Consider the following 19,024-nt stretch of genomic DNA (forward strand, 5'->3'; position numbering starts at 1 on the left):
TTTTTCCTGGTTGCTGACAGAAATACTGCTGACATCTCTGCACCAGGACCTCTTAAGGAAACCACTGTACAAATGACACTGCACTAGGATTATTGGGAAGGAATCATTGTTCCAGGCATCCATCTTGGAAGAAAGGACCAGCTTTGAGCTCCATCAAGGGTATTTTAAGTGATGTCATTTGAGCAGGACTGGATTTTAAGCCGAAGGGCAATATCTACGTGTTTTTCCCCCCTCCTTCTGCTGTGTATCATGGTGTTCAAAACAGAAATGTTTTTTGGCATTCCACCTCCTAGGGATATAATTCTGGAGACATGGAGTGTTACTGATCATAAAACTTTTGTGTCACTTTTTTCTGCCTTGCTAGCCAAAATCTCTTAAATACACGTAGGTGGGCCAGAGAACATTGGAAGAATCAAGAGAGATTAGAATATCTGGTTTCTCTAGTTGCAGTATTGGACAAAGAGCATAGTCCCAGCCTTCAGGTGTAGTAGTTCTGTGTTGACCCTTTGTCCAGTGGAATTGGTGATTCTGAATTGTCCTTTACTAATGGTGTTGAGTTGCTCTGTCCCTATTATTTGCCCTAGGCTTTCTCCTAATGAAGGTTTTCATTTGCCATTCATGTCCTGTAATACTTCACCTCCAGGAACTGTCATGGATGTCCAAATGGCTTTGCAGAAAGGAAATGAGATGACAGTATTTAATCGCAGCAGTAGCAAACTTTTCACATGCTAATGTGCAGCTGAGTGCACTTTATTTAAAAAGAATGGATAAATGCAATATTCTTGAGGTCTTGAGGGAATAGTGAAACACATTCCTGGTTTTTGCCTACACTTACGTGTTAGACAAGAACTATGATTTTTTTTTTTAAAGTACTGGTGTCACCCTTTGCCTATATGGTAGAGCAATAATGCTTTTTAAAAATAAACTTCTGAAAACCCAAGGCCAGGTACTGCATTCTGAATCAGAATCTCGCAGTGTTTCTGTGAATAGATTTTTTTGTAAATATGACCTTTAAGATATTGTATTATGTAAAATATGTATATACCTTTTTTTGTAGGTCACAACAACTCATTTTTACAGAGTTTGTGAAGCTAAATATTTAACATTGTTGATTTCAGTAAGCTGTGTGGTGAGGCTACCAGTGGAAGAGACATCCCTTGACTTTTGTGGCCTGGGGGAGGGGTAGTGCTCCACAGCTTTTCCTTCCCCACCCCCCAGCCTTAGATGCCTCGCTCTTTTCAATCTCTTAATCTAAATGCTTTTTAAAGAGATTATTTGTTTAGATGTAGGCATTTTAATTTTTTAAAAATTCCTCTACCAGAACTAAGCACTTTGTTAATTTGGGGGGAAAGAATAGATATGGGGAAATAAACTTAAAAAAAAATCAGGAATTTAAAAAAACGAGCAATTTGAAGAGAATCTTTTGGATTTTAAGCAGTCCGAAATAATAGCAATTCATGGGCTGTGTGTGTGTGTGTATGTGTGTGTGTGTGTGTGTATGTTTAATTATGTTACCTTTTCATCCCCTTTAGGAGCGTTTTCAGATTTTGGTTGCTAAGACCTGAATCCCATATTGAGATCTCGAGTAGAATCCTTGGTGTGGTTTCTGGTGTCTGCTCAGCTGTCCCCTCATTCTACTAATGTGATGCTTTCATTATGTCCCTGTGGATTAGAATAGTGTCAGTTATTTCTTAAGTAACTCAGTACCCAGAACAGCCAGTTTTACTGTGATTCAGAGCCACAGTCTAACTGAGCACCTTTTAAACCCCTCCCTCTTCTGCCCCCTACCACTTTTCTGCTGTTGCCTCTCTTTGACACCTGTTTTAGTCAGTTGGGAGGAAGGGAAAAATCAAGTTTAATTCCCTTTATCTGGGTTAATTCATTTGGTTCAAATAGTTGACGGAATTGGGTTTCTGAATGTCTGTGAATTTCAGAGGTCTCTGCTAGCCTTGGTATCATTTTCTAGCAATAACTGAGAGCCAGTTAATTTTAAGAATTTCACACATTTAGCCAATCTTTCTAGATGTCTCTGAAGGTAAGATCATTTAATATCTTTGATATGCTTACGAGTAAGTGAATCCTGATTATTTCCAGACCCACCACCAGAGTGGATCTTATTTTCAAAGCAGTATAGACAATTATGAGTTTGCCCTCTTTCCCCTACCAAGTTCAAAATATATCTAAGAAAGATTGTAAATCCGAAAACTTCCATTGTAGTGGCCTGTGCTTTTCAGATAGTATACTCTCCTGTTTGGAGACAGAGGAAGAACCAGGTCAGTCTGTCTCTTTTTCAGCTCAATTGTATCTGACCCTTCTTTAAGTTATGTGTGTGGGGAGAAATAGAATGGTGCTCTTATCTTTCTTGACTTTAAAAAAATTATTAAAAACAAAAAAAAAATAAATTTTTTTGCAATCCTTTCCTCAGACCTGGCTCCAGGCTAACTGGAAGGCAGCACTCCCTTTTTTATATAGTAGAAAAATGAAGTTTATTATAAGTTTTTATATTTTCTACTTGTTCATTTGGTGCAAACTCAAGATTTCTTTTAATAGGTGCAGTCTTTGAGATAATTTGTTTTTACCTGTATTGCCCTTTATCTTTTTTAGGTAATTCTTTGTACTCCTGCTGTCTACCTCTCCTCACACCCCAGCACCCCCCATTTTTTCAAACCTTGGTATCTGTTGGGTGAACAGTATAATCTTTTCATCTGCTTTTAGAATGTGGGATATTTCCAGTACCTACTTTTTTTTTTTTTTTTTGCTGAATCCAAAGATATATAAATAAAATATATATATTTTATAAAGATCAGAATGATATAAAGGAGATACATGTTTCTTCCTTTAAAAAATAAACGGAAGTTACATTGTTAATGTTCATATTATGATGCCACTTTTCTAAACTGCATCTGGATTGAAAGGTGTAAATATCAATAACAGTGCTACTTAGTTATCAGTATTTAATATCTGAGGTGAGTTGGGGGTATCTATATTAGGGGTAGGGTATTACAGAAGATAATTGGCTTGATGTCCTAGAAGTTCTTTGATCCAGAGGTGGGTGCAGCTGAAAGTAAACAGAATGGATTGCCAGTTACATGTATGCCTGCCCAGTTCCCTTTTTATTTGCAGAAGCTGTGAGTTTTGTTCACAATTAGGTTCCTAGGAGCAAAACCTCAAGGATTGATTTATTGTTTTCAACTCCAAGGCACACTGTTAATAAACGAGCAGGGTGTTTTCTCTCTTCCTTTCTAATATATGGAGTTTCGAAGAATAAAATATGAGAGCAATATTTAAATTCTCAGGAATTGACTTATACTCTTGAGAATGAATTCAGTTTCAATCAAGTTTACATTATGTTGCTTAAAAAAATAGAAATTATTCTTTATCTTGCAAAGAATTGAAACCACATGAAATGACTTATGGGGGATGGTGAGCTGTGACTGCTTTGCTGACCATTTTGGATGTCATTGTAAATAAAGGTTTCTATTTAAAATTGGAGCCTAAAGAGTTTTTTTTTTTTTTTTTTTTTTTTAAATCCCTGTTGGGTTAAGGGTAAAGGAGGTTAAGGAAGCCTATTTCAAATAATGGTAACAGTTTCTGAGAAGTTAAAAAACGCCACTAGGGAGTTGCTAGGGAGCCTTGGCCTGTTTGGGGCATTGAAACAAATGTGGGTGCTTTTAGGGATTATCTCCGTCATCTGTTAAATGAGAAATGGGTTGGACTGGTGATTGATAGTTGAAATCTGTCAACTACTTGTATCAGGTTAGACTACCTGATACACAAAGAAGGGTTGGCCAAGGCGAATTTCTTTGCAATTGATTAATACTTTTTTAAAAAATGAAGTACCAAAGCTGGTATACTATGAGACTTACCTGTAGTCCCTTGAAGTATGGTAGACTTTTTAGTCAATCTACAACCATCTACTCCCCTTTTAAGAAAATCTTCTAAACCCAAGGCATTTTCTTCCAAAAAGATGTTGACTGGTAGTATCTTGAATACTTTAAAAAAACAGACACACCAAAAAACTCCCAAGAAATGGCCTTTTACAAAATGTCAAAGGTTCTTCATACCAACTGCTGGTCATTGGCTGGGGTTTTGAACACTGTATGACAATACTTAAACTACAAAATTTTTTTTACAAATACAGTTTCATCAAAACTTGGGACATACATCAACTTCATTTCTTTTCAGTACCTTAAAAAAAAAACATCAGTTCTGGGACATAACAAAGAAATACTAGGAGAAATGGTATCTGGACAGGAACAGAAATGTCCACAACTGCGAGGGATTTTCTTTTACACTGGCCACAGAGCGTTTATTGACACCACCACTCCTGAAAATTGGGATTTCTTATTAGGTTCCCCTAAAAGTTCCCATGTTGATTACATGTAAATAGTCACATATATACAATGAAGGCAGTTTCTTCAGAGGCAACCAGGGTTTATAGTGCTAGGTAAATGTCATCTCTTTTGTGCTACTGACTCATTGTCAAACGTCTCTGCACTGTTTTCAGCCTCTCCACGTTGCCTCTGTCCTGCTTCTTAGTTCCTTCTTTGTGACAAACCAAAAGAATAAGAGGATTTAGAACAGGACTGCTTTTCCCCTATGATTTAAAAATTCCAATGACTTTCGCCCTTGGGAGAAATTTCCAAGGAAATCTCTCTCGCTCGCTCTCTCCGTTTTCCTTTGTGAGCTTCTGGGGGAGGGTTAGTGGTGACTTTTTGATACGAAAAAATGCATTTTGTGCAGCTGGTGAGGTATAATCCAAAGCAAAAGCAGGGGCAAAAATGGACTTCCTGAAGTTATCTCTGCTCCTGCTGGTTATCCTCCAGAATCTGTCATGTTGACTGAGAGTGCGTGCTTGCTTTCTCAGGCCTCCTGGCCAATACCACAGGTCTGCTGGAAATCACCCACATGGTTTTTCATTGCCTGTGCAGTCAGGTGATGCCTCTATGTTTTTGGAGGTCCACCTCTGTTGTTTCTTAACCTTCCCAGCCTTCCCACAGTTGTCCCCTAAAGAACAAAACAAACTCATCTTAGCACTTAGCTATCATGGTCTTTATCATGACTTCCTAATCGGTCCTATAGCTGAGGAAGCTTTGCTTCAAGGCTGCTGAGAATGAATATTTCTAGGTTACTTAGAACGGGATTGCCACCACCTAGTCACCTCAATTTTTTGTTTACTTATACACCCAATGCCTGGCAAGGATGGCATTTAAGGATCTGGACAGAATAGTGGCTAAGGAGATTGTGATATGTAAAGATTCTGTACCTTAATTCTAGAAGCACCGAAGAAAGGCTTAGGTGACCTGTTACTAATGTCCTATTAAAGCCACACAGGTTTATATGCATATAAAGGAAGAAATGAGTAGACCAGAGGTTGCAAGTGGCAGTTCACCAAGGGCGATAATTTGCCCACATGGTTAACTTAATGTCAAATTAGATGATAATGATAAAGAATTCTCACACATACTTGCATTTTTGGATTTGGTAGACGAATGAGAAAATCTGGCGAACCTCAGCCCATTCCTGCAGGGAGCAAACTGGCCTGCTCCCTTTAGAATAGAGGTGAACTTTACAGGTTGCCAGTCTCTTAGTCCCTGTCAGCCTCCAATGGCACTGGAGTGAGAGTTTGTAGCATGGGCTTTTTGGAAACCATTTAATGAGGCCATCCTACTACTGATGTTGTATATCAGTTAGCACTTTTGTAGCCACAGCCTTCAAGATGCCTAGCAATTTGTAATATTTAAATGCTTCTCAACCTCTAAGTAATAGCTCAAGTTTACCAAGCACAGATTATAGCGAGAACAGCAGTGTACTGGACAAGGCATTAATCTAAAACATGAAATGGATTCAAGTGTTTTCTTAGGGAAAGATGTGCATTAGTACTTCCCCCCCACCCTCATCATGAGAACAAACAAAGGGTGGTATGTAAGAAATGGCATGCAAATAGAATAGCATTGGCAAAATGAAGCGGTCAGAACCAGATTTCTATTTGTAAGCTGGTTCCTCAACTCACAGTGATTTGGAAGAAGGTCTCTTCATTTCTGGCCACTTTCGACGCTGAAACTGCCTAAGTTTTCAAGTGTCAAAGGAGAATGAATGTTAACCATCACCAAGAAAGAAAAAGTCCCCAAAGAACTATACAAAGAAGGTCTCCTAGGTGACACCTATCTTTGGTGGGTGATCCTGGTCTCGGGCAGACCAGAGGGAAGGGCAGTTTCTCAAGATAACAGGTGCAGACTCACAGAGATGAGACTGAAGGATGGGCCAAGATAGGAGAACTTTGTTTAGGCTTTAATAATAAAACGAAATACCTGTATTGCTCATAGCTTCCTCCATCTTTAAGTCCTAAATGAAGGAGAAATGAAAAACAAAACAGGAGCAGATAGTTTAGGCAAAACAACCCCAACACACCAGAAAACCATCTTATGCTTTTTTGTCACAATCCCATGATGCTGATAGTGTTCCCTACTCAGAGTAGACTGAATTATGAGGGGTAGACTGAATTATGAGGGGAACCTGCCCTAAGTCTCCTAGATAGCCTTGTAGATTGCCTAAAATCCAGTGTCACCATGATCAGTTTCAGGACCCTGATGGCTTCATTCAGCGCTGACCTTAGTTATGGTGAGGGAGGTAGATGCAGGCATGAACATCTGTGCTCCAGAGGACAGAAAGCCAAGAGCCCTGACCAAGTGCAGGAGGGAGTTCCCCTTTGGGCTCTGGGGAAGTTTTCCCGAGGATGTGGCAGGATCAAGTGCGTGGGCTCCGGGGTCAGCCCACCTTGTTCACCTTACTCCTCCATAAAATGAGGATAAGATTCACCTCAAAGCTTATCAGCTAACACATGTAAAATGCTCAGCACAGAGCCTGGCACACAGTGACTAATATGTCATTGCACTTTGATCACAAGAGTAGCAGCACTTGAGTGGCAGAGATTAGGAAGCTACTAGTGAAAATTCTGATCATATCAGGCTCCTGACCAGAAGTATTAGTGCAACATCTTGTGTAAACACATTAGCTCTTCCCTCTTCATAACTAGAGCCGACGGTAGCGTCTGAATTCCTCCTAAGCTGTGTAGCCATTTTCCTGACATGAACTCTAGGCATCCTCCTAGACACAGTCCCTTCCCCAAGGGACCTTAAATACCAAAGGTTTTTTTTAGGCCACTCTCTCTCACTAGTAAGTGAACTTCATTTTTCTTTTAGCTTTGTTTTCTTTTTTTAATATATTTTTTTTATTTTTAGAGATGGGGCGACAGCTCTGTCTCCCAGGCTGGAGTGCAGTGGTGCTATCATAGCTCACTGTAACCTTGAACTCCTGGGCTCAAGTCTCCTCCCACCTCAGCCTTCCAAAGCCCTGGAATCATAGGCATGAGCAACCATGCCTGTTTAGCTTTTTTCATCTTAAAATATCTATCTGGTTGGCATTCTAAACTTAAAACTGCAGATTTTGTCCTGTCCCAAACAAAACTCAGGATTTACCTGGGACTCCTAATCCCGCACCTCCCATCACCATGTTGTCTGGGGGCTTCACCACCTGAATCTGAAATCCATCATCTTTACTGCTCCCACCTCTAGTCCAAGCCACCACCATTTCTCCCTGGATAACTGGGCCATCTTCGCTGTTTTCTCCCATAAAGTCCCATTCTCCACCTAGCAAATGTCGGTGCCCAGGTTAAAACCCTCCATTGGCTTCCTGATACACCACAAATGAAATCTAAACTCTACCGTGGCCTAGGAAGCCCCACACAGGGTGGCCCGATGCCCTCCCGCCACTCTCCACTGGCCTCAGTTGTGTTGGCTGCACCCCCTGAGCTGCTTTCTGCTCCTCACACTTTAAGCTTCCTGGAGCGCCAGCCCTCCACGTTTTCTCAGTGGTCGATTGCATCCTACTTTTCAGGACTCAGTTCAGAGGTCTGACCCTGGTTTTATTTAGCAGTGCCCTTCCCCAGTCACACTGGATTCTACCATCCAGTTTTACCCTTTCCATACAAGCAAGAGGCCTCCTGCTGTGGACTGCTCTTCTTAGGACAACACTGGCTCCACACAAGTCAGCGAGGATGGGGTCATCTTTAGTCAACATGGTTTCAGGTGTAAGTTCTCAGGAAGTGTTTGTTGAATGCATGAGTGGACAAAAGGGAGGACAATGAAATGAGACGGAATTCCGTGTGTTTCCTGGGCAGTTGGTGCAGGTGTTCCTCTCTCAGGAATCACAGCTTGTTAAAGGTCATCTGCCTGCTATGGACAGGGGCTCCCATGACTCGTCTGGAACTGTATCACCTCCCAAAGCCTGGTGATTTCAGGCTCATTCTTGGGGTAGACACCACCTCCTGAGTCCCTTCCTTTGGTTACCCTGCTGTCCAAGGGCCCCACGTTGGGGTGCCTACTCACCCAGGTCCATGTTTCGAGTCCGGGGGTTACACTGCTTGTAACCCTTGCAGCTCCTCAGCTCCATGAGCTGTACGTGTAGCTGGTTGAGGACATCCCTGTCCAGTGTGTTCACTGCATTCATCAGCTGGTTGCAAAAAAGGTAGTCTGTCAACAAGGTAAGTACAGGGACTCTCGCCCTGCCCTTCTACCAACCAGGGGACATATTTCAGGCAGGTGGCGGGTGGAAGGTGCTAGGGGCTGGTGACCTGTTTACTCCAACTTCTGCAAGAGCCAGCGTTTGGAAGAGTTAGGTGACTTTTTGGCTTCAAGTCCCACCAGGTTCACTCTTCATGAGAGTGAAAACTCAGGAGAATAAAAACCACGTCTGTGTATTTAACGTTGGAGTTCTGCAGCCACTGGTCAGGAAACTTCCCAAGCTTGGAAAGAAAGCCTTCCAAGTCTTGGTTTTATCAGCAGCCTTCATTCAGGGGCCCTCAGCTCCTCCTGATTGCAAAGCAGCCATTTGATGAAAGGACGGGTAAGTGGCCTGGGTTCTTGTGTAGTCTGGGAGCTACCGGTGAGGGACTTAACCTACCCCTTTGGTAAAGTATGAGGGTGAACCTATCTAAGGAGAAAGACTGCACACCTATATAGTAATTAAAGCATTTGTGCTGCTGACATTTAAACATCAGATTTCATTTAAATTATTTCAGGCTTTTCTTGAAAGGTCAAAGCCTGGGCAATACCAAGGCCACAGTACAGGAAAGCTCTAGTGCTGGAGCTCAGTAGTGACTGTCCCTGTACAAGGGCCCACATGTTCCGATGACCAGACATGCCACTGCTCCTTTTGGTCTTGTGTGGTCCTGGGCCACTTCAGTCGCATGTGTGTTTAGATGGCTTACTGTACGGAAGCACTTAGCAGAGTGCTTGGTGCAGTGTGTTACTGTTATATTAGCTGCGCGGTCCGTGTAGGCCCTGCAGTGGGTGATATTTGGCTTGATCCTACAGCCTGACAGTGTTAGGAGTCTTCACAAGTTCCGGCAAAACCTGGTTGCATGCTGCATGTTAAGTTAGAGGGAAGAAGCCATATATATTACACACGCAGGGTGATGGAGGCAAAAAGCAGGGTGATGGAGGCAAAAAAGGCTGATTGAACACAGAACCCCCAATCTCAGCAGCTTCACAACTTACTCCCACCGGCTCAGGGACTCAGTGGGACTTGGACAATTTGTCATCACTTCCCTGAGGTTGGGGGGGGCCTACCTGGCAGCACTGGTGTACCCCACACCCCCATCCCTCTAGCTCGGGTTGCCTGTACCTGGTAGGGGTCTGTGTTGAGATCAAAGTACTCTAGGAAGCCAGTTGCAAATTCACAGAAGAGGAAATTGTGAGTCTCATTGATGGTCCTCATGCACCAGTACGTGTTATTGTTGGCGCTGGTGCAGGCACAGAAAGGCCCCACTGCCAAGGAAGAGAGAGCATGTCCTGAGTGCCTGCGGGAGGAGGCCCCATCTGCCAACAGTGATTCCTGTCAGGGACAGCCCCTAAAACCAGTTCGTCAAATGCCAAGAGGCTGTCCCGAGCACCGTGGACCCCTGGTGTTGGGGACCCCCTTTCTGAGAGAGGTCTGGGTCACTAAGTGGAGAAGTTTCTTGAACCCCTGGGCCTCAGCCTGTCCACCCCTGCCCTGGGCTTGCTCACGTGTCCAGAAAGGCGCCGTCTGCCAGTGCTGGTTGTCGTGGGTGAAGCACGTGAGGCCTGGCATGCTGCACGTGTCGTTGTTCTGCAGGCGCTTGAGCAGCTTGCGGAGTTTCTTCTTGCGCTTCTGCTCCCGCAACAGCCACACCTTGTCCTTCTCTTGCAGGCCCTTCCTATGGGCGCAGAGGGCCACACACACCTTGGGCCTCTGAGGGATCAGTGACCCCATGTCTCTGCTCTTCCTGTCCACCTAAGGGCTTCGCTGAGGCTTCTCCAACAGAGAGCCATGGGCATAGCAATTCAGGGTCCCAAGTCCCAGTGCTGCTCCAAGGCAGAGCCGGGACCAGAACCTGGGTCTTGTCATTCTACTTTAACTCCCAAGGGGGCACAAGCTGGGGACAGAACCAGGCAGCTACTGGGACTCCTGTTGACACCCCTTTCCCCTCCTTCCTGTGTCCTGCCCTGCTTGGTGGAGTTGCGGTAACCCCATTTAGCCACAAGGGGGCGTCGGAGGCCCGCTCAGTGTTGATTGGGAAGTAAGGCCTCTTCGAGGGCTACCGTGGACTTCCCAGGGAAGGGCCTGGACTTCTTTCCTTTTCTTCTGAGTTTTAGCTTAAGGGAGGGCCACCTCCTCATGCAGGCCTCTGCATCTCTTCCCCAGGACCTCAAGCTGCTCTTACCTGAAAGGATGCAGACTGGAGCCTCTGTGCTTGAGGCGGCCTTTGTGCTGGGTGTGGTAGCTGTAACAGACCCCCCCAGCCCCAGGCTTCAGGAGTGGCTCAGAGGGCTCCGCTGGCAGGTGCAAGCTGTGATTTCTGGGACTCCCATGTGTTGCTGCTGCCCCACCCCTGTCCCTCCTTCTGGGGTGGTGGTGGGTAGGGCATGACCCTATCCTCAGGGCAGCAGGTGCCTGCCTGAGTGGCTTCTTTCTCCAAGCATGAGCCAGGACTCTGCCTGGACTTTTGCTAGACTTTAGCAGGTTGGGTTAATTGTAATTTAGCCACGACTAGAAGCTGGGCCTGGCTTTAGGTGCATCAGCCTCAGCATCCTTTTTCCTTTCTTTTTTGATGGTTAATTTTACATGTCAAAGCCTCAGCATCTTGAGGTTGGTTCCCTCACCACCCTGCCTACTCACACTTGGTCGGGGTCAACACAGGGAAGCCTGTGTTTTGCAACACTTTCTGGAAAGACAGCAGGGCTTCTACAGCTGTGCTGTCCAGTATGGTAGCCACTGGCCACAGGTGGCTACTTCAATTTGAATTAAGCAAAATAAAAAATTTGGCTCCTTAGTGACACTAGCCAAAATTTTAAGTATGCACCAGCCACGTGTGGTGTAGTGCAGATATAGCCCATTTCCGTCAGCACAGAATGTTCTATTAGAGCTGTTCTAGAGTTCAGTCCTTTGGGCCAGGGGACCCCTAAGCCGGGAACATGGACCTCAAACCACATGGGGGATTTCTGAAAGGGCAATCGGCAGAGGCACTTTTCCGGCCTGGAGCCGGCTCTGCGCAGCCAGCACGGGTCTCTTGCTAGCAGTACTGGAATCTGGGCGCCAGCCTGGCTGAGGAGCAGGTCCGTGTGCCACACTGGCTGACAACAGGGAGGTAAATTACGGATTTTTTTAATGCCATGAGGGGAGAAGATAAAGATAAAAATAAAAAATGAAAGGGGTCAATCACGAGAGGGGATGAACTGAACTGTCCTGTAGGAGAGTGGGGTCTTAGGGAGGTCCCTTTGCTACTGCCTCACCTGATTTTGTGACAGTCACATTCTTCTGGCCGCTTTTTCTTCAGGTGACCTCGGACTTCCCTCAGGTTCTTAATTTTGTTCTGCAGGGTTTCAATCTGAGGGAGGGGCAGAAGAGGAGGCCTTGAAACCTTCAAGGCTGGACAACAAAGACTTGGCCTGGTGACTGCCCCCACGCTGCCGTGTCTGTGCTCAGCAGCGGCAGCCTGCACTCCCCGGGCCCCAGGGCAAGCACCGGCATGTCTGGGTGGGGAGGAGGTACTTGTTCTGCCTGAAGGAAGCCCGCCTTCTCCTCCAGCCAGCCCTTGCAAGGGAACCGAGTCATTTTTCCGGCCTGGCCTGCGCAGGAACCCGCTGAGCCCACTGAGGCCTCCAGTGTCTCCCCTGGGTTTGATGAAAGGCCTCCTGTAGCGTAGACTTCTTGTAAGTCAAAAGGGGGACAACGTGGCTAAGCCATCGTCCCTCAGACGGCCTGGGCAGGAAGCTATCTGTCTCATGCTGGGACTGACACCTATCCCCGCGTTGAGGAATCTGTGGGGACCTCACTTCACCTCTCCAGCCTCTTCCCTGGGTCTGGCCTCACTGCCCTCCCACTGTGAACCGGGGGTCCTGCCAGGCCCGTGGTGGCCGAGAGCATGCTCCTCTCCCGCTCTCCACTCACCTCGTGGTCGATGTGCAGCTTGTGGTCTTTCCAGGCCTGCAGGGACTTGTACAGGTCCAGGTCACACTGGACTGTGTCGTTCTCTAGGATGTAGCACCTGCTTGAGAGAAGGGATCACGTGTGGCTCGGAGGTGGTGGAGGGGGAGCAGCCCAGGTGCCCAAGAGGTGTGGGAAGCCCTTGCCGAGGTCTGTCCTGTCCCCTTCACCCTCGACTTCCACCTGGACACTCACCGATGTGTCACTTTAATGGGGTTGGCGGCTGAATAGTCGGGAAGGCCTCCAGTGCCACTGAAGTCCCCACCATCCTTGTCATCTTGGTCCTCAGGGGCCCAAGAGGTGTGGGAAGCCCTTTGCCGAGGTCTGTCCTGTCCCCTTCACCCTCGACTTCCACCTGGACACTCACCGATGTGTCACTTTAATGGGGTTGGCGGCTGAGTAGTCGGGAAGGCCTCCAGTGCCACTGAAGTCCCCACCATCCTTGTCATCTTGGTCCTCAGGGGCCCCTGGCCAGTGCCGCTTGGTGAGGTTTCGGGGCTGGGCGGCATCACCCAGGCCTACGTGGTACACCCTGCCGTCCACCTCGATGGCCACTGAGCGGATGGAGCGACTGCGGACATAGCTGGCCTTGTACTCTGTGGGCATTAGAGGAGTGGCAGAGTTAGGGAGGCAGGAAAGGCTGGCCAGGCTCCCAGGGCAGTGGGTCCTTCATCAAGATAGGGCCGGGCTTCCAAGCATGAGGCTCAGCTTTGCCTGCGACTCGAGGGGTCGTGGAATCTACCCGCCTGCTCGCAGATCCTGGACCGCAGGGGAGGGCCTCGAGGTGATCACACCGGCAAGACGGAAGTCCTGGAGCCAAGAAGCCACTGACTCAAGAGGATTTCAAGCGAGAGCTGCTTGCGGGTAAACAAATGGCGGTACATCATCTGTACAACGGAATATGCGACCAGAACCAGGAGCGAGGTTCTGATTCACGCTAGAGCGTGGATGAATGTCAAAAGCAGGCGGAGTGAAACCAGCCAGACACAAAGCGGGCTCGTATTGTTACATTCTATTTATAGGAACTACCCAGAATAGGTAAATCTATAGCGGCAGAAAGAAGATTGGTGATTGCCAGGGGCTGGGGGAGAGGGTAGTGAGGAGTGACTGCTTTGTGGGTACGGGGTTCCCTTTTGGGGTGATGAAATGTTTTGGAACTAGGTAGAGGTGTGCAACACTGTGAACCTATTAAATGCCTCTGCATTGTATATAATTGTAAAAATGGTGAGTTTGATGTTATCTGAACTTCACCTCAATTAAAAAGGAAAAAAAGTATCATGGATGTAAAAATGTTGATTTAAACTGGGAAAAAGGGGCCCTGCAGTGCCTGTCTCTGGGTAGAAATGGACGGGGACTGGGGAAGCCACTTAGCTTCTTTGAGTCCCAGAGAGCTGGAGGCTGCCCACCAGGTGGTAGGCAGGTGCTACACCCAGGTGGGCCGGCAACAAGGCTGAGGGGGGCTTTTGCATACGCCCTGACGCTGAAAACTCAGGGGTGCAGGCTGAAGTGACACCCCAGGTAGCCTGTATCTTCTATGTCTCAAAAACAAATCTGAGTTGGTAACATTAAAGAAAAAGGGGAGGTGGTGGCGGTGATGTAGGGATCCAGATTTCCAGCTTCCAGAAAGGAAACAGATGTCTCACGGGCCCACAGTTCCATATGGTCAGGACGGGCCGGGGATGGGCGGCCCCTTTGGCTGCCCACTGTCTTCCCTGTTGGCCACAGCCCCCGCCACTCCTTCCTGTTTTAAAACCTCTGCCCACCTGACACATGTCTGGCCCCAGCAGGCACGCACTGCAGTTGTCATCCTTCTCCAGATGTGCCTCATTTAAAGAGAAGGGCCTGGAGCCAGTTAGTGACCCAGGTTTTGTTGGATCCCAAGTGACCCCGAGATGGTGACCAAAGAGGACCAGCTGGAGGCAGGTGGTGGCGGAAGGCAGTGGAAGGAGGGAGGAAAGGGCTCCCTTCTCACGTGGCCCGGGTGCCACCCCCACTCTTGGGGGATGTTTTGTATCTTTCAGTTCTCAGACACCTTGCATCAGAGTCACAAGGGCCGAAGGATCCTGAGGGGCCGGGAAAGGCCTCCCCTCTCCAGCAGAGCCTTGGGCCTTTTCTGACACAGGGCAGCCTTCTCCTGGGCACTTCTCTCCCTCGGTTTAGTCTCCCGATGCAAGTACACAAATTGCCGAGGATGGTCCCTGTGCCAAGCAGGTCCTGCCCCGAGAGGCTCAGGAAATAGACCCAGCGTGTCCTCTCCACTCCTTTTGTCTCAGTCGGCTCATAAGTGAGCTGCTTTGCCTCTTTCCACCCTCCATCTCCCAGCTCTAGATTCAGGGGTCCCTAAACCATGGCCTAAGGGCCCAGGCCAGCCTCCATCTGTCTTTGTGAATACAGTTTCACTGGGTACAGCTGCTCGCATTCCCTTATACCTCTGCAGTCGCAGGGCTGAGTTGCAAAGCCCAAGACCTTTACTCTCTGGCTCTTCACAGAAGCGGTATGCCAGCCCTGTGTGAATCCTTTCCTGGACTGAAGCCACACTACCTGCTCTCCCCATCACTCTGTGTTCATGTCCAGAGTCCTGGAGGTACCCTTCCTGCCACACCAACAGGGAATGGGACAGGACTTCATAACCCGGCGGCCAAGAGCTTTGACTCTGCAATCAGATGGCTCAGGTGCAAACCCCTGAGCACATGTGTGGCCCCGGCGATTTGGGTAACTTCTCAGGATGGTGCCTACCCTACAAAGGCTCCTTGGAGGATGGCACGAAACGGAACTAGTGAAGCATTCATGCCTGATGAGCTGGTGTGGACCAGCTACTGCAGGGGGTGGGGACTCTGCCTGCAGCTGACGTCCTCACCTAAGGTGACAACCCTGGGCCCACTCCCTGCCTCTCCACGCCGGTGACCGCCTGTGTGATGTGGCTGCCCATGCCCATGGTGCTTCTCACCACCCTCGGCCACACCGGTCACCTCTCTGTGACTGGGACTCACCGCCCTGATTCTGAGCACAGGGTCTTTGTACTCCATCTTCCTCCTCCTCAGAACACTTGCTCTCTGGCTGGTCACAAGACCTGCTCCTTTCTGTACTTTGTTCTCATTAAATGTCCATTGAGCGCCATTCTGGAGCCGCCACCCCTCTCTGCTAGTCCCGCCACCGCTGCGTCTCCTTCATGCGTTTTTCACCAGCGGAAGTGGCCCTTTGTTCACTTGTTCACATCTTGTTTCATCCATGAGGTCCAAGTCCGTGTCTCTCCAGGTCAACTCTAATCTCAGTGTCTTGCACAAAGTTCAAGAAATGAATGAACCCCAGTCAGCTGGGCCCATCCCCCGAGTCCTCGTCCCCTTCTCCTGTTCCTGGGTCCCCCTTCTGCTGTGAGCTGGCTGGCTCTGCCTAACCTCCCCACGCCACAGCCAGGATCCCCGTGGATCAAGGTGGGCCAGGGCTTCCCAACCTTACCACTGCGGACACTTTGGGGTCAGATCAAACTCTGTGGTGGGGGCCGTCCTGTGCGTTGCAAGATGTTTTGCCGCATCCATAGCCTCTGCTCACTAGACGCCAGCAGCACCCCTCCATCACACACAATTGTGACAGCCAAAACTGTCTCCAAACATTGCCAAGTGTCCCCTGGGGGACAGAAAGCCCCCAGTTCAGCCTGCTCTAGGCTGACTGCTCAGAAAAGAGGGACAGAGTGTCTTGTCGGAGACTCTAGCAGGGGGAAGAATGCCAGGCAGGAGATGGGGCTGGAGTCCCCAAATCAGCCACGTGACCCAGTCTTTCCTGTCCATCATCCCCTGATGATCACCCCTGCCCTGCTCACAGGGCTGTTGAGAGGTGCAGGTCCCGGCTCTGACATTACACTCACATGAGGATTCTGACCAGGGCTGAGCTGACTCTCAGCTACTTTTAGGTATTTTTCTTTCCTCTAAGCATTAATAAGGGGAAAAGAGCTGAATTTCTCCCTGCCAGATCTTGTATTATTTAAAGATTATCGACTGTGCCACATATTGAAGCAAGGAGATGCTGGCTGTGTAATCCAATCTGGAAACCAATCATTCTGTTCAGCTAGAAAAGTTAATGTAGTAGTTCCTAATCAGCTGGTGAGGAAATGTAACGGAGGGTCATCAGCTGGGAAACGGTGTTTCAGGCAGTGGCTGGGCTGTTATGGAGAGAGACTTATCTGCTCCACGATGAAGACATTTGCTGCCTGGCTGGCTGGACCAGAGGAGATCACTGCGCCTGCCGTCAGAGACCTCAATCTCTAACTAGTCTGTGGTACAATATCATCCGTCTTATAAAGAATGGAGACTTTTTGTTTTTTTTGAGACAGTCTTGCTCTGTCACCCAGGCTGGAGTGAAGTGGCATGATCTCAGTTCACTGCAACCTCCCGCTCCCAGGTTCAAGCCATTCTAGTGCCTCAGCCTCCTGAGTAGCAGGGACTACAGGCGCCCACCACCATGCCTGGCTAATTTTTGTATTTTTAGTAGACACGGGTTTCACCTTGTTGGCCAGACTGGTCTCGAACTTCTGAGCTCAGGCAATCCGCCTGCCTTGGCCTCCCGAAATGCTGGGATTACAGGCGTGAGCCACTGTGCCCGATCAGGAAGGAGATTCCAACACAGGCTACCATGTGGATGAACCCGGAGAACATTATGCGAAGAGAAATAAGCCAGCCACAGAAGGACAAATACTGTACAATTCCACTTACATGAGGCCCCTAAAGCAGTCAAGCTCATAGAGAAGAAGAGTGGTTGCTGAGAACGGGTGGGAGAATGGGGTGACAGCAGGGTGGGAGAGCGGGGTGGGAGAACGGGGTGGGGGTGGGAGCGGGGTGGGAGAATGGGGAGATAACGTTGAATGGGGACAGTTGTAGTTTTGCAAGATGAAGAGTTCATTTAGCAGATAGGTTGCGTACTAGTGGGAATATAGTTGACACTACTGGATACTTAAAAATGGTTAAGATGATAAATTTTATGGGAATTTCACCATAATTTTTTTTAAAAACAACACCTAAAATCTCTCATTAGGCTTTGGCTGTCCTTAGGCCAGAGAAATGGGCTACGTGGGAAGCTGCCCAGCCTTGGAGGGCACACTTCTAGCCGGCGGACCCCGACGCCTCCACACATTTTCAGGGCACAGGCTCATTCTTGTTTTAAAGTCATGCAGGGACCATTCTTCCTGTTTGATGGTGGGAGCTGAGCCTCAGAATGGTGAAGCGATGGCCCAGGGTGGCGGCTGAGCCTTCTGGCTGGGTCTAGAAGAGTCCCTCTCTCCACTTCGCCTGCTCCCTGGCTTCTGTCTGACTGTCCTCTCCTCGGCCCTTGCCGAGAATGAGGTGTGAAGGTGTAGACACTTCTTCAGCTGAGTGAGGCTTTTCCCCACTCAACTATAGTCTATTTTTGTTCTTCAGGGTAGTTTATTTTTTATTTTTTTTGAGACCGAGTCTCACTCTGTCGCCCAGGCTGGAGCACAATGGCGTGATCTCAGCTATCTGCAACCTCTGCTCCCGGGTTCAAGCGACTCTGCTGCCACACCACACGCCCAACTAATTTTTTGTATTTTTAGTAGAGATGGGGTTTCACCATGTTGGCCAGGCTGGTCTTGAACTCCTGACCTCAAGTGATCTGTCCACCTCGGCCTCTCAAAGTGCTGGGATTACAGGTGTGAGCCACCGCGCCCAGCCCAGGGTAGTTCTATAAACTCACCACAAACACTGACTAATTGAACGCTGAAACATGGCTCCTAGGGGAAGCACAGAGCTGGGTTCCTGTGAACCTCTGGTCCTAGCATTTTCACCAGCCAATCAATACAGAACCTTGTATGTGTGTTTCTTCCTTTTTTTTGAGATGGATCTCGCTCTGTTGCCCAGGCTGGAGTGCAGTGGCACAATCTCGGGTCACTGCAGCCTCTGCCTCCTGGGTTCAAGCGATTCTCATGCCTCAGCCTCCCAAGTAGCTGGGATTACAAGCGTGAGCCACCACATCTGGCTAATTGTTGTATTTTTAGACGGGGTTTTACCATGTTGGCCAGGCTGGTCTGGAGCTCCTGACCTCAGGTGATCTGCCTGCCTCGGACTCCCAAAGTACTGGGATTACAGGCGTGAGCCATTGCGCCTGGCCTTATCTGTTTATTACTACTGCTCCCCACTAGAATGGGTGGCTCGTGAGGAGATGTGGCTGTGTCCCCAGCCCCTAGATCACCACCTGGCAAAGTGACAGTCTCTGTGGAACTGTCGGAGTGAATGAATGGGGCCCCCCAGGCATGGTCTCTCTCCTCCTGTCCCACTCAGCCAGGTTGTGACACTTACTCTTCTTGAAGAGTTTTTTCCGGCGTCCGGCCAGGCTGAGCTTGTAGTCCCCGCTGTCACAGGTGCAGGCCTCGCTGCCCTGCCCGTAGTACTTGGGCACGAGGTTGGAGAGGGCTCTGCTGCCGCCCAGCCGCATGGGGCCCTTGCACTTATGCAGCTTCAGCTTCCCCGTGGCGTCCTCCACACACTGCCACTTCTGAAAGACATGCCAG

General features: G+C 48.3%; 2 protein-coding genes across 22 annotated transcripts in view, besides 7 other annotated features; one reads left to right on the forward strand and one right to left on the reverse strand.

The window, feature by feature from the left end:
- The window catches only part of NCOA3 (nuclear receptor coactivator 3), a 154,986-nt gene extending 151,499 nt beyond the window's left edge, over positions 1-3,487 (forward strand). For all 4 annotated transcript variants that reach the window (NM_001174088.2, NM_181659.3, NM_001174087.2 and 1 more), the window contains exon 23: positions 21-3,487. In NM_001174088.2, coding sequence (NP_001167559.1) covers positions 21-32 — 12 coding nt within the window. In that variant the 3' untranslated portion in view covers positions 33-3,487. The remainder of the gene's footprint in view (positions 1-20) is intronic.
- The window catches only part of SULF2 (sulfatase 2), a 129,222-nt gene continuing 114,218 nt past the window's right edge, over positions 4,021-19,024 (reverse strand). For 4 of the 18 annotated variants that reach the window (NM_001161841.2, NM_018837.4, NM_001387048.1 and 1 more), the window contains exons 11-21: positions 18,813-19,008; positions 12,875-13,103; positions 12,472-12,568; positions 11,814-11,908; positions 10,745-10,804; positions 10,068-10,237; positions 9,685-9,827; positions 8,388-8,511; positions 6,312-6,345; positions 6,014-6,067; positions 4,021-5,007 (exon numbers count right to left, since the gene is read on the reverse strand). In NM_001161841.2, the coding sequence (NP_001155313.1) occupies positions 4,977-5,007; positions 6,014-6,067; positions 6,312-6,345; positions 8,388-8,511; positions 9,685-9,827; positions 10,068-10,237; positions 10,745-10,804; positions 11,814-11,908; positions 12,472-12,568; positions 12,875-13,103; positions 18,813-19,008 (1,233 nt within the window). In that variant the 3' untranslated portion in view covers positions 4,021-4,976. Of the gene's footprint in view, positions 5,008-6,013; positions 6,068-6,311; positions 6,346-8,387; positions 8,512-9,684; positions 9,828-10,067; positions 10,238-10,744; positions 10,805-11,813; positions 11,909-12,471; positions 12,572-12,702; positions 12,773-12,874; positions 13,104-18,812; positions 19,009-19,024 lie in introns of all 18 variants that reach the window. The other 14 variants (NM_001387052.1, NM_001387053.1, NM_001387054.1 and 11 more) reach the window with 6 other exon arrangements.
- Positions 9,821-9,870: an enhancer, noted in NCBI's record as "active region_18000". NCBI's record gives its function as "activates an Ori minimal core promoter by ATAC-STARR-seq in GM12878 lymphoblastoid cells {active_cell/tissue: GM12878}" and the evidence as "EXISTENCE:reporter gene assay evidence [ECO:0000049][PMID:35858748]".
- Positions 10,681-10,820: an enhancer, noted in NCBI's record as "active region_18001". NCBI's record gives its function as "activates an Ori minimal core promoter by ATAC-STARR-seq in GM12878 lymphoblastoid cells {active_cell/tissue: GM12878}" and the evidence as "EXISTENCE:reporter gene assay evidence [ECO:0000049][PMID:35858748]".
- Positions 10,851-10,900: an enhancer, noted in NCBI's record as "active region_18002". NCBI's record gives its function as "activates an Ori minimal core promoter by ATAC-STARR-seq in GM12878 lymphoblastoid cells {active_cell/tissue: GM12878}" and the evidence as "EXISTENCE:reporter gene assay evidence [ECO:0000049][PMID:35858748]".
- Positions 11,434-12,419: an enhancer, noted in NCBI's record as "H3K4me1 hESC enhancer chr20:46293563-46294548 (GRCh37/hg19 assembly coordinates)". NCBI's record gives its function as "activates a minimal SCP1, AML or CMV promoter by ChIP-STARR-seq in naive and primed H9 embryonic stem cells {active_cell/tissue: H9 hESC(naive and primed)}" and the evidence as "EXISTENCE:reporter gene assay evidence [ECO:0000049][PMID:30033119]".
- Positions 12,420-13,403: an enhancer, noted in NCBI's record as "H3K4me1 hESC enhancer chr20:46294549-46295532 (GRCh37/hg19 assembly coordinates)". NCBI's record gives its function as "activates a minimal SCP1, AML or CMV promoter by ChIP-STARR-seq in naive and primed H9 embryonic stem cells {active_cell/tissue: H9 hESC(naive and primed)}" and the evidence as "EXISTENCE:reporter gene assay evidence [ECO:0000049][PMID:30033119]".
- Positions 13,986-14,215: an enhancer, noted in NCBI's record as "active region_18003". NCBI's record gives its function as "activates an Ori minimal core promoter by ATAC-STARR-seq in GM12878 lymphoblastoid cells {active_cell/tissue: GM12878}" and the evidence as "EXISTENCE:reporter gene assay evidence [ECO:0000049][PMID:35858748]".
- Positions 15,196-15,365: an enhancer, noted in NCBI's record as "active region_18004". NCBI's record gives its function as "activates an Ori minimal core promoter by ATAC-STARR-seq in GM12878 lymphoblastoid cells {active_cell/tissue: GM12878}" and the evidence as "EXISTENCE:reporter gene assay evidence [ECO:0000049][PMID:35858748]".

This window comes from Homo sapiens, chromosome 20 (genome assembly GCF_000001405.40).
Source record: "Homo sapiens chromosome 20, GRCh38.p14 Primary Assembly".
Lineage (NCBI taxonomy): Eukaryota > Metazoa > Chordata > Mammalia > Primates > Hominidae > Homo > Homo sapiens.